Source organism: Homo sapiens, chromosome 12 (assembly GCF_000001405.40).
Source record: "Homo sapiens chromosome 12, GRCh38.p14 Primary Assembly".
Taxonomy (NCBI): Eukaryota; Metazoa; Chordata; class Mammalia; order Primates; family Hominidae; genus Homo; species Homo sapiens.
In genome coordinates this window covers 117,240,230-117,253,289 of record NC_000012.12, presented here as the reverse complement: position 1 = coordinate 117,253,289, position 13,060 = coordinate 117,240,230, and the positions used below count along the sequence as shown (strand labels likewise).

The 13,060-nt window shown below is 43.9% G+C and overlaps 1 protein-coding gene and 1 pseudogene across 4 annotated transcripts in view; both read left to right on the top strand.

Annotated features, from left to right (window-relative positions):
* Positions 1-13,060, top strand: part of NOS1 (nitric oxide synthase 1) — a 153,485-nt gene that overhangs the window by 108,337 nt on the left and 32,088 nt on the right. For all 4 annotated transcript variants that reach the window (NM_000620.5, NM_001204218.2, NM_001204214.2 and 1 more), the window contains 3 exons: positions 5,768-5,942; positions 9,855-9,993; positions 10,585-10,663. In NM_000620.5, the coding sequence (NP_000611.1) occupies positions 5,768-5,942; positions 9,855-9,993; positions 10,585-10,663 (393 nt within the window). The remainder of the gene's footprint in view (positions 1-5,767; positions 5,943-9,854; positions 9,994-10,584; positions 10,664-13,060) is intronic.
* Positions 7,033-7,353, top strand: ELOCP32 (elongin C pseudogene 32; annotated as a pseudogene).

The following is a 13,060-nucleotide window of genomic DNA, read 5'->3' as shown; positions in this document are numbered from 1 at the left end:
TTCTGTAGACACCCTGCTATGACCCAGTGGTTCCCAATCCTGGAGGCTCCTCAAAACCACCTAGAGAGGTTTGCAGTGTACTAATACAATAACCAAGACCCATCTCCAGAGATTCCGATGGAATTGATCTAGAATTGGGCCCATGTGTTGCTTTTTTCTTTAAGTCTCTCCAATTGACTCTAACGTGCAGTCAGATTTGACAAATACTGCCCTAACCTCACATTATCTCATGGCGTAGTCACATACTATGAGATAATTTTAGGAAGCACGTGGGCAGATATTTTATATTACAATAGTTGTGTATTCAGTTTAATGGGTTCTTGGAAGGAAAGAAAACAGGGATGTCAAACCCTTGGTTTCGTGGATATTGATCAAGACAAGACTGATGTGAGTTGCCCTGTAGGAAGAACCTTCAGGCCTGGCCACAAATCTCTCAGACCTTCGCTAACTGAGCCTTCTCCGTAATTACTCAGAGCAATGCGTAGTAGATGATATAGATCACTGGTTTGCTAGCTATTGAAATATCTGTTATGTCCTCCAGGACATTTTAAAATAGGCTTTACGTTTTAAAGCAATTTTAGGTTGACAGCAAAATGAGCAGAAAGTACAGAGAGTTCCCACATCCTCCTGTCCCTACACACTCACAGTCTCTCCTCCTATCAGCATCCCACACCAGAGTGGTGCGTTTGTTAGAACTGATGTACCTACAATGACACATCATTATCAGCCACAGTCCATAGTTTACTTTAGGGTTCACTCTTGGTGTTGAACATTCTATAGGTTTTGACATCAGTACTTTTTTCAGCTCAACACTGAAACGTCAGTTCTGGAGTTTGACAGTCAGACCCATTTTTCCCTTATTAAATCTATCATGGCAGGAGCTGGCAAACTAACACCTGTGAGCCAAATCCAGCCTGGTCACTGCATATTTTTTACAACCCATGAGCTAATAATGGTTTTCTTACCAATGAACATTTGTAATTAGTTTGATGGTAGAAAACATTACCTTTGAACCCGAATAAAGAAAATGTTATTATTCTCTCCCAAAAAATGAATTCCAGTCTTCTCATAGTAGACCTGTGTTAAAGTATGCTTAATTGTTATTATTATGTTTTTAATTTTATCAATTGAGAATGTTCAGGAATTTGTTTTCTTTCTTGTTTTGTAAGTACCTACGTAATAGCTTCAATTTTGCTTCTTGGCCTGTAAGCCTAAAAATATTTGCTGTCTGACCCCCACATATAAAAAGTTTGCCAACGCCGGGCACAGTGGCTCATGCCTGTAATCCCAGCACTTTGGGAAGCCAAGACAGGCAGATCATTTGGGCTCAGGAGTTTGAGACCAGCCTGGGCAACATAGCAAAACCCTGTTTCCACCAAAAATATAAAAACTTAGCTGGGCATGGTGGCATGCACCTGTGGTCCCAGCTACTCTGGAGACTGAGGTGGGAAGATCGCTTGAGCCTGGGAGGCAGAGGTTACAGTGAGCCGAGATGGCGCCACTGCATTCCAGCCTGGACGATAGAGCAAAACCCTGTCTCAAAAAAAAAAGTTTGCCAAGACCAGGCACAGTGGCTCACACCTACCATCCCAGCACTTTGGGAGGCCAAGGTGGGAGGATCACTTAAGCCCTGGAGTTTAAGACCAGCCTGGGCAACATATTGGGACCCTGTGTCTACAAAAAAAAAAAAAAATGAAAAAAATTAATTGATTAGCTGGGCATAGTGGCACATGTCTTTAGTCCCAGCTACTTGGGAGGCTGTGGTGGGGGGATTGCATGAGCCTAGGAGATCAAGGCTATGGTGAGCCATGATCACGCTACTACTACATTCCTTGAAATCATAAGCTGAAGATTGTGATGGAAATGTGACTAGAAGTAACTGTAGTCTAGGTCCTCAGGCCCACCAAGAAGAATATTAATGAATCAACCGCCTGAATCATCATCTGTTGGTGAACACAAGAGTTGGGAGCCTTGGTCCATTGGGGCTACTATACCAAATACCATAAACTGGTGGCTTGTAAACAACAGAAATTTATTTCTCACGGTTCTAGTGGCTGGGAAGTCCAAGATCAAGGTGCCAGCAGATTCAGTGTCTGGTGAGGGCCCTCTCTCTGGCTCATAGACGGTGCCTTCCAGCTGTGTCCTTACATGGCAGAAGGGAAGAACTCTGATCTCTTCAGCCCCTTAAGAGGCACTAACCCCATTCATGAGGCTTCACCTTCATGACCTAATCATCTCCCAAAGGCCACTAATACCATGACATTGGGGGTTAGGTTTCAACCTATGAATCTGGGGGAGACACAAACATTCAGACCATAGGAGTGATGAGCTAGTGAGGAAAAATTAAAAGCAAGTTCAAAAACACAAATGAGTGATTGACAGTGTCAGCGGTAATTGAATATGGCAGACATCACAAACATAAATCACAGAGATTCAGGAAACAACACCTTAACCAGAAGGCATGACTAGTGCTGGAAGTTCCCAGATCTGCACTGGGCTAAGGCTGAGGCAGGTGGCTTTGGGTAGGGTTTCCCTTTCCTGTCACCCCTCCAGTCAGTCCACACCCAGTCACCATCTCTGTCTACCTGTCAGGCCGCCACCCTGCAAGAAAAGGGTAATGTTTTTAGATCCAGGAAGATCATTGGTTAAGAGTAAATGGCAGGCTGGGCACGGCAGCTCACGCCTGTAATCCCAGCACTGTGGGAGGCCAAGGTGTGTGGATCACCTGAGGTCAGAAGTTCGACACCAGCATGACCAACATGGTGAAACCCCATCTCTAACAAAAATGCAAAAATTAGCCACGCGTGGTTATGGGGGCCTGTAATCCCAGCTACTCTGGAGGCTGAGGCGGGAGAATTACTTGAACCTGGGAGGCAGAGGCTGCAGTGAGCCAAGATCACACCACTGCACTTCAGCTTGGGTGACAAGAGCAAAACTCTGTCTAAAAAAAAAAAAAAAAAAAGTAAATGGCAAAATGCTATCTAATCCCACATACTTTATTTGGAAAGGCTCTGGAATTCTGGGGAAAGGAGGGCAAGGAAGAAGAGGAAGATGAAATGTTACAATATGAGTGTAGATTTGAGGGGAGTGGATATTAACCTACATTAACTTACACCTGTGAGGCACCTGGACCCACCCCAAGTTCATACTCCAATGATGGAGGGTGCCTTTCCAACTTCTCCTACCTTCTTCCTTCCTTCCCATCTCAATCTGTTACCATTTTGTCCCCATCGTCCTAAAAAAGAGATTCAGGGGCAGGGCCTGATCCTGTATGGAGTAGGTTAAGTAGCCCCACTCCATGGTTTATCTGAGGTGACAGTCTACAGCAGAACACTCTGACCTTAAAAAGTGGGGCAAGGTGGGGTGTATTTGTCCCATTGGTGAAGCTGTTGTTCCTGTCCCTGTGAGGTCTAGACCTACAGCCAAGACCAAGTTCTGGAAATGTAGCAGAAAGTGTCTGAAGGACTGTGTACCAGCCCTACAGGAGCCATCTAGGACACAGCCCTCCATTTTCCATACTTCAGTCAAAGTGTCCCCACCTCAACATAGAGAAATAGCTCATGAATTTGACCCCACTGGTTCAAGCACCAATATTTTCTTGGTGGCGTCTATGCACAGAGGGTCTGTGAAGCAAATTAATTTCATAGACCTTACAAGGAATGGAACCAGAATACTTATAACTATTTCATTCCCTTTTAGAAGAACCTGTTTGATGTGTTGATGACAATTTCTTCTGGTCTTTTCATTAATACAAGTCCCTGAGGACCATTATATTATAGTTTCATTATCTTCATATTTAAAACTAATCTAGTTATGTCACTTGTAGAATTCAAGCCTTCCACTAACATAGACTAATTTCCCCAATTGGTCCAGCTTAGAAGCATGCAAGAAACAACCAGTGGTTCCAGGTCATTGCTGTCCCTAACTCGTCCTCCTTAGAACCAATTAGAATATTCTCCTGATGATGGCGATACTTAGAAGAGACCAAAAGAAACGAAGAGAAACCCTTGAGAGCCCTTAGGTTTCAAGTGCCCTTCCACAGATGAGCTTGGGGTTGCCTGACCACCAACAGCTAAACACTGTTCTTCTTGAGATACCAGATATATTAGTTCAGGCTGTCATAACAAAATACCACAGACTGAGTGGTATTGGCTGTAATTCTAGAACTGACAGACAACTTATCTGACAAAGGGCTAATATCCAGAATCTACAATGAACTCAAACAAATTTACAAGAAAAAAACAAACAACCCCATCAAAATTGGGCAAAGGACATGAACAGACACTTCTCAAAAGAAGACATTTATGCAGCCAAAAAACACATGAAAAAATGCTCACCATCACTGGCCATCAGAGAAATGCAAATCAAAACCACAATGAGATACCGTCTCACACCAGTTAGAATGTCAATCATTAAAAAGTCAGGAAACAACAAGTGCTGGAGAGGATGTGGAGAAATAGGAACACTTTTACACCGTTGGTGGGACTGTAAACTAGTTCAACCATTGTGGAAGTCAGTGTGGCAATTCCTCAGGGATCTAGAACTAGAAATACCATTTGACCCAGCCATCCCATTACTGGGTATATACCCAAAGGACTATAAATCATGCTGCTTTAAAGACATATGCACACGTATGTTTATTGCGGCATTATTCACAATAGCAAAGACTTGGAACCAACCCAAATGTCCAACAATGATAGACTGGATTAAGAAAATGTGGCACATATACACCATGGAATACTATGCAGCCATAAAAAATGATGAGTTCATGTCCTTTGTAGGGACATGGATGAAATTGGAAATCATCATTCTCAGTAAACTATCTCAAGAACAAAAAACCAAACACCGCATATTCTCACTCATAGGTGGGAATTGAACAATGAGAACACACGGACACAGGAAGGGGAACATCACACTCTGGGGACTGTTGTGGGGTGGGGGGAGAGGGGAGGGATAGCATTGGGAGATATACCTAATGCTAGATGACGAGTTAGTGGGTGCAGCACACCAGCATGGCACATGTATACATATGTAACTAACCTACACATGGTGCACATGTACCCTAAAACTTAAAGTATAATAATAATAAATTTAAAAAAAAAAAGAATAGAAATTTATTTTCTCATGGTACTGGAAGCCACAAGTCCAAGATCAAGGTGCTAGCAGCGTTGCTTTCTAGTGAGGTCTCTCTTTCTGGCTTGCAGATAGCCACCTTCTTGCTATGTCCAGAGAGAGAAAGAGAAAGGAAAGAGGGAGAGAGAGAGAGGGAGCTAGAGAGAGAGGAGAGAGAGAGAGCACTCTGGTGTCTCTTCCTTTTCTTTTTCTTTTCTTTTTTTTTTTTTTTTAGACGGAGTCTCGCTCTGTCACCCAGGCTGGAGTGCAGTGGCGCTATCTTGGCTCACTATAAGCTCCGCCTCCCGGGTTCACACCATTCTCCTGCCTCAGCCTCCAAAGTAGCTGGGACTACAGGCGCCTGCCACCATGCCCGGCTAATTTTTTGTACTTTTAGTAGAGACGGGGTTTCACCGTGTTAGCCAGGCTCTTCCTCTTCTTATAAGGACACTAATCCTATCAGATCAGGGCTTTACCCTTATAACCTCATTTAACCTTAATTACCCCTTAAAGGCCCTATCTCAAAATACAATTGTGAGGAGATTAGAGTTTTAATATATGAAATTTGGGGGGACACAGTTTAGCCCATTACACCAGACACTCCCCACATTCCCCACAGTCCCTTAGCATGAACATTCTGTCATCTCCTTGACAGGTTCTCAGTTTTTGGCCTCGGCTCACGAGCATACCCTCACTTTTGCGCCTTCGGACACGCTGTGGACACCCTCCTGGAAGAACTGGGAGGGGAGAGGATCCTGAAGATGAGGGAAGGGGATGAGCTCTGTGGGCAGGAAGAGGCTTTCAGGACCTGGGCCAAGAAGGTCTTCAAGGTAATCTGGATCTCATGGACCTACAGGAAAAAGTAATGCTCCCCACACCCCCAAAGACAGCACCTAAACCATCAAGAAGAGAATAAACTTGAGAGAACCCTCAGTACCTCTCCCATGTATCCAGCCAAGATACAGCTTTAAACAGCTCAGACAAATTTGGGTGTCCTGAAAACACATATTTTCTACCCAGAATCCAACATTCTACATTATGGGCAAGGAGTTAGTCCATAAAAAAAATTATATAGAGTCTTGGAATGTCAGGGCTGGGAGGAAGCCATCCGTCACTCCCATTTGGTGTACAGGTACACAAAGAAAACAAGAGATGGTCAACCAAACCAAACCTAACATCTTGGCAGTCTACCAATTTTGACACGCCTACCCCTCTTGTACTAGATCTTCACTAACCAATATGGTAGCCACTAGCCACACATAGCCATTTAAATTTAAACTTAAACTAATTAAAATTCAGTAGGATGAATGGGTAAATAAAATGTGGTACATCAATGCAATGGAATATTCTTCATCCATAAAAAAGAATGAAGTGGTGATACATGCTACAACATGGATGGACCTTGAAAACTTTACACTAAGTGGAAGAAGCCAGTCACAAAAGAATATGTATTGCAGGATTCCATTTATATAAAATGTCCAGAATCAGAAAATCCATAGAGACAGAAGGCAGGTTAGTGGTTGCTAGGGGTTATGGGGATGGGAAATGGAAGTGACTGCTAATAGATAAAAAAGTTTTTCAGTGTTGGGGGGGTGATGAGAATGTTCTGGAAGCAGGTAATGGGAAGGGTTGCATAACCTTGTGGACGTTCGACATGCCACAGGATTGTGCATATTTAAACAGTGAGTTGTATGTTATATGAATTACATTTATACCTATCTATACAGTACAAAATTAAATAAGGCTGGACATGGTGGTTGATGCTTGTTGTCCCAGCACTTTTGGAGGCTGGGGCAGGAGGATTGCTTGAGTCCAGGAGCTCAAGACCAGCCTGGGCAACATAGTGAGACCTCATCTGCTTAAAAAATAATAATAATTAATTAAATTAAACAGGTTTAAAATCCCATTCCTGACTTCCTTCAGACAGAATAGAGTGACAGACTCTGCATCCCCACCTCACCAGGAAACCACTAAAGTTCCTGGGGAAGCAAAGTAGAATTTCATTAGAACATAATGGATGGAGAGGAGAAAGCCTATAGTGGCTGTGAAGTCCCTGGTGCCATGCATGTCTAATTGATACCTTCTGATGGTCAGGAATGTATTGTAAAAATAGAACATGTGCTAATATCAGGAATGATAAAAGCCATGTTGAGTGGCCCAGGTCAGTTAGCTGAAAATAAAACAAATGAAGTTAATTTGAGAGAGAGATTCCTATCCCTATATTACCAAAAATATACATGTTTTGTTTTGTTTTGTTTTTGAGACAGAGTCTTGCTCTGTCACCCAGGCTGGAGTGCAGTGACACAATGTTGGCTCACTGCAACCTCCGCCTCCCGGGTTCAAGCAATTCTCCTGCCTCAGCCTCCCAAGTAGCTGGAACTACAGGTGCCTGCCGCAATGCCCAGCTAATTTTTTGTATTTTAGTAGAGATGGGGTTTCACCGTGTTGCCCAGGCTGGTCATGAACTCCTGAGCTCAGTCAGTCTGCCCCCCGGGGCCTCCCAAAGTGCTGGGATTACAGGTGTGGCACACATTTCACATACAACGTTCACTACAGTCACAGCTCCACTGAGATTCCAGAATCCCCAGTTATACCTGAAATTGCACTGGAACTTCCTAGATTGTTAAATAAAATAAATTATAATAAACTGTTATCTTTCTTCAGTATTTAAAAAAAATCCCATTGCTCAGTTGCAGTAAGCACATTTTGTATGCTCAGTAGCCACAGGGGTAGGGGTTACCCTATTAGACAGTGCAGAACCTTTCCATCATGATAAGACATCCTATTGGCCAGAGCTGTTTTAAATTTAAGGCCACCGGGGGATAAATGAACCATGCATGGCCTTCTGTCTGCATATGAGGATAACTAAACTGGCCATTCTGGGGTGGGAGGTGGTAATAAATGTAGACTGTGCCAGTTTTACCCACTCCATCCTAGCCTTGGAATACATTCTCCTCAGCAACCCCAGGGGAAAGGGTACTATGCAACCTTCTGTCATTCAGTTGGCGCTTTTCATCCTGAAAGCAAATGCAGGTAGAGAGCAAATGGGGAAGCTGAGGCCCCTGGGCTATAAAGATTTCCAGGTGGGGAGGCGATGTTCATCAGCCTGTTCCTGCATTTCCTCCCAGACAAAGAGAGATGAGATAACGGCTTTTTATACCCATTGAGATAATTCTGTTGCTTGATTTCCATCAGCCAACCTTGACTGAGCAACCAGGAAGCAAGGCCTGTGAAAAGCCACTGTACCCTTTAGCTGTCAACCTCCTGTCCTCCCATCCCACCCCCAGCTCTCGAAACCACAAATCTACTTCCTGTCTCTGTAGATTTCCCTGTGCTGGACATTTCGCATGAATGGAATCATATAATATGTGGTCTTTTGTGACTGACTTCTTTCACTTAGTATAATGTTTTCAAGGTTCATCCGTGTCATAGCATGTATCAGAACTTCATCCTTTTTTATAGCCAAATAATATTCCGTTGTATGGATGTGTCAAATCTTGTTAATCCATTCATCCACTGATGAACATTTGGATTGTTTTGAAGTCAACATGAGGTCAAACAATGGTAAAAACTACTCTTAAAAGTTATCATTATTTTGAATTATCTGTGGTTTTATCTTAAAAAGTAAATCAGGACATTGGCTGGGCATGGTGACTCATGCCTGCAATCCCAGCACTTTGGGAGGCTGAGGCGGGCAAATTGCTTGAGGCCAGAAGCTCGAAACCAGCCTGGCCAACATGGCGAAACCCTGTCTCTACTAAAAATTAGCTGGGCATGGTGCACATGCCTGTAATCCCAGCTACCTGGGAGGCTGAGGCATGAGAATAACTTGAACCTGGGGAGGAGGTCGAGGCTGCAGTGAGCCAAGATCACACCACTGCACTCCAGCCTGGGTGACAGAGTGAGATTCTGTCTTAAATAAATAAATAAATAAGGACAGCAATTCTTAGAATTGTTAAAGTCAAAGAACAAGTGAGCTTGACCAAAAAAAAAAAAGAAAAATGTATTTGCAGTCATCCAGACATTCAATATGCTCTGCCTTTATGTAATTCTTAAATATTAAAGGAAGATGGATTGGGAAATTCTGAGATGTTTACTTTCTTCTTTAATGTTAAACCTCTACACACATCAGTTTTAGGAATAAATGACGCAATAGAATTATATCTTAAGTACAGGTTAGGTCCTAAAGTCAATGTCAAATCCGACGTGTCCAGCACATCGCAGACACTCAAAATATATAGGATGGATGGATGGATAGATGAATGGATGGATGCATGCCTGCATGGAAAGATAGATGGATAGGTGGGTGGGTGGGTAGATGGATGGAAGGATGGATGCATGGAAAGATGGATGAGTGGGTGGGTAGATGGAGGGAAGGATGGATGCATGGAAAGATGGATGGGTGGGTGGGTGGATGGATGGGTGGATGGATGGATGGATGGAAAGATAGATACATGGATGGGAGGGTGGAAGGGTAGATGAATGGAAGAGTAGATGAGTGGATGGGTGAATGGATGGAAGGAAGACAACGAAAGGGTAGAGGGAAGAAAGGAAGGGAAGGAAGAAGGGAAGGAGGGAAGGGTTACTGGATGGATGGATGGATGGATGGATGGATGGATGGATGGATGGTTGGATAGATGGATGGATGGGTGAATGAAGAGATACATGCCATGACTTGGAGCTGTTGGAGAGGAGATCCGCTTGGCTGAAAGAGGTCACTGAAAGCCTTGTGTACACCACAGGCAGCCTGTGATGTCTTCTGTGTGGGAGATGATGTCAACATTGAAAAGGCCAACAATTCCCTCATCAGCAATGATCGCAGCTGGAAGAGAAACAAGTTCCGCCTCACCTTTGTGGCCGAAGCTCCAGAACTCACACAAGGTACCTCCCACCACCCTTCCAGGGAGGTATTCGTGACAATGGGGGAAAGGCAGGTGATCTCACCTCCAGAAGGTGCTTAGAGAAGATGGGCTTCATTGCTTTGATCTCCCTTTAGTGCAGTCCTACCAAAATGAATACTTTGCTGCTCTCCCACACTCAGTAAAACAAGTGCTGGTAAATGTTTCCCTCTCTCTCTCTAGTAATGTACTGTGTTCTTCCAAACCATCCTCTTCTCAACTTAACTCAACTATATTTTCTTTTTGTTCTGCACTACCCACAACCACCCCACCCATCCCAACCAATGCCTGCCTCATCTCCTCTCTTCTGTCTCTCATTCTACTCCAGAGAGCAGTGGAAGTGTCAGTAGAGGGTGAATACAATGCTGCAGAGTGTTTGTTTGTATTAATATTCTGAGACAAGATCTCATTATGTTTCCCAGGCTGGTCTTGAACCCCTGGCCTCAAGTGATCCTCCCACCTCAGCCTCCTAAGTAGTTGGGATTATGGGCGTGAGCCACGTTGCCCCACCTGGGGAGTTTTTAATGGAACATTCAACCCCTTCTCAGGAAGACTGTTGTTTTTCTCCCCACAGGTCTATCCAATGTCCACAAAAAGCGAGTCTCAGCTGCCCGGCTCCTTAGCCGTCAAAACCTCCAGAGCCCTAAATCCAGGTAGGAACATCTTGGTTCACTGGGTTACCTACGTCTTCTCCCAAATGCCACCCACGATGAAGGACAAGCCCTGTGGACTCCAAGGACTGGCTGTTCTCCAATCATTGCAAAGTGCCATAGAGACCCCCTTGCTGCTTTATAGTGTCTGGGGTTCCTGCTTTCCTTTTGCCTAGCTCCAACCTGAAGGAGTGGAAAAAGGAGATGGTATTGGTCTCATGAAAAGAGGAAAGAAAAAGGTTTTCTGAGTGATTTTTAACAGTAGACCACACCCCTGTAGCTTCGCCACATGTTCGTTGTACCACAGCATCTTAGCTGGAAATCACTTAGTCCAAGTATTTCCTATTGTGGATAATTTTTTTAATGGAGTGCTAAAAAGTGGCTACCCACACTCTGCTTAAATTTCTTTGGGTTGATGGGAGGTTCATTACCTCACAAAACAGCCCACTCTGTGTTTTGAAGTCCTAAGTGTTAGAAATTAGCTTAATATCCAATATAACCAATATCTTTTTATCTAATGTAACCAAAGCATGTCTTCCTAGTACTTTATTTTAAACCCAGTTTTACTCTCTGTGACACCTAAAATAAGTTTATTTCTTTCCAAATGAAAGACCTGGAAATAGCCAACAACATTGACCAATCTCCTGTGGGGCCTGATTCCTTCAAGTCATTCTTCCTAAGAGATGGTTTCCCAAGCCTCTGGCTTTAGTAAAAGGACACACTCTGTCCTGCTGGAAATGTCACTCTCACCTGGTCACAGTGCAGTGGAGAGCATGTGATCACTGCCAAATATGCTGAGGTTATTATTACCATCACCAATTTGAACAGGACGCGCTAATGCTGCCTGAGATCGCAGGCGCGGTTCTGATGGCCGTTCTGCTCTTCCATTAAAAGCGGTCGCTGCTGTTCTTAGACATCACGTCTTCTCAAAATGATCACACCAGGTCTGCTCATCTCTCTACTTGTATAAATAATTTTTCTAGCACTAATGAAAGTCTTTGCATAGATCCCTGTTGAATGGAATCTTTTTCACTTTGTAGTTACAGCAGAAGATCTTTTCAAGTCTTGATTCTTTGCACAGCATAGTTCACTGTGCTGTGCTTGGTTCACCAGGTTACCCACCTCTGCTCCCAGGTGCCACCCACAATAAAGGACAAGCTCTTGTTGATTCCAAGGACTGGCTGTTTTCCAATCATTGCAAAGTGCCATAGGACCCCCTTGCTGCTCTGGGAACAGAGGTGGGTAACCCGGTGAACCAAGCATATTGCAGTGAGCTATGCTGCGCAAAGAATCAAGACTTGAAAAGATCTTCTGCTATAACTACAAAGTGAAAAACATTCCATTCAATGGGAACTAATGCAAAGACCTTCATTAGTGCTAGAAAAATTACTTGGCCAGGCACGGTGGCTCACACCTGTAACCCCAGCACTTTGGGAGGCCAAGGCGGGTGGATCACGAGGTCAGGAGTTCGAGACCAGCCTGACCAACGTGGTGAAACCCCGTCTGTACTAAAAATACAAAAATTAGCCAGGCGTGGTTGTGGGGGCCTATAATCCCAGCTACTCAGGAGGCTGAGGCAGGCGAATCGCTGGAACCCAGGAGGCGGAGGCTGCAGTGAGCCAAGGTTGCACCACTGTACTCCAGCCTGGGCGACGGAATGAGACTCTGTCTCAAAAAAAAAAAAAAAAGAAAAAGAAAAATTACTTATACAAGGAGAGAGATGGATGGACAGAGCCGGTTTGATCAATTTGAGATGTGATGTCTAAGAGTAGGCTCTTGAGTTGAGCAGTCCTGGGTTCTAATCCCAGCTCTGCCACACACTAGCTGTGCGGCCTTGGCCAAGTCATTTAGGTGGTCTGAGTCCCTGTCTCCTTACCTACAGAATGGGAATGATAGCTCTGAAGATTGCTAATGTTTTTCTAGAGCTTTCTGTGTTCCAAGCACTGTGCTGAGTCCTCTGTCCAGGATCTTTTATAATTCTAACCAGCCTGGGAAGTAGGCACTCTTATCATACACATTTTAAATAGGAACAATGACAGCTAGAAAACACAAGTGACTTTCTCAAGGTCACACCGACCCGGTTATCTGACGCCAAAGTCAGTGTGCCAAATGGCTACACAGATGGCCTCACCAGCATTGCAAGGCTGCTGAGTATTAAAAATAAGCTACATAAAACAACTAGCATATCATAGAGTCCCATCCGTATTCCTTATCCATCCCTGCTTCATGTCACCTGCAAATTTAGTGTGTGTGCTTTCTATGTAATCCTCCAAACCTTTGATAAAAGTGATCAACACAGCAGAGCCCCAGGGCTCTCATATTCTCTCTTAGATTCTCAAACATTAAAGAAATGGAGTGGGAAATTAATCTCTGAATAATTAGTTAAGTGCAATTCAGAGC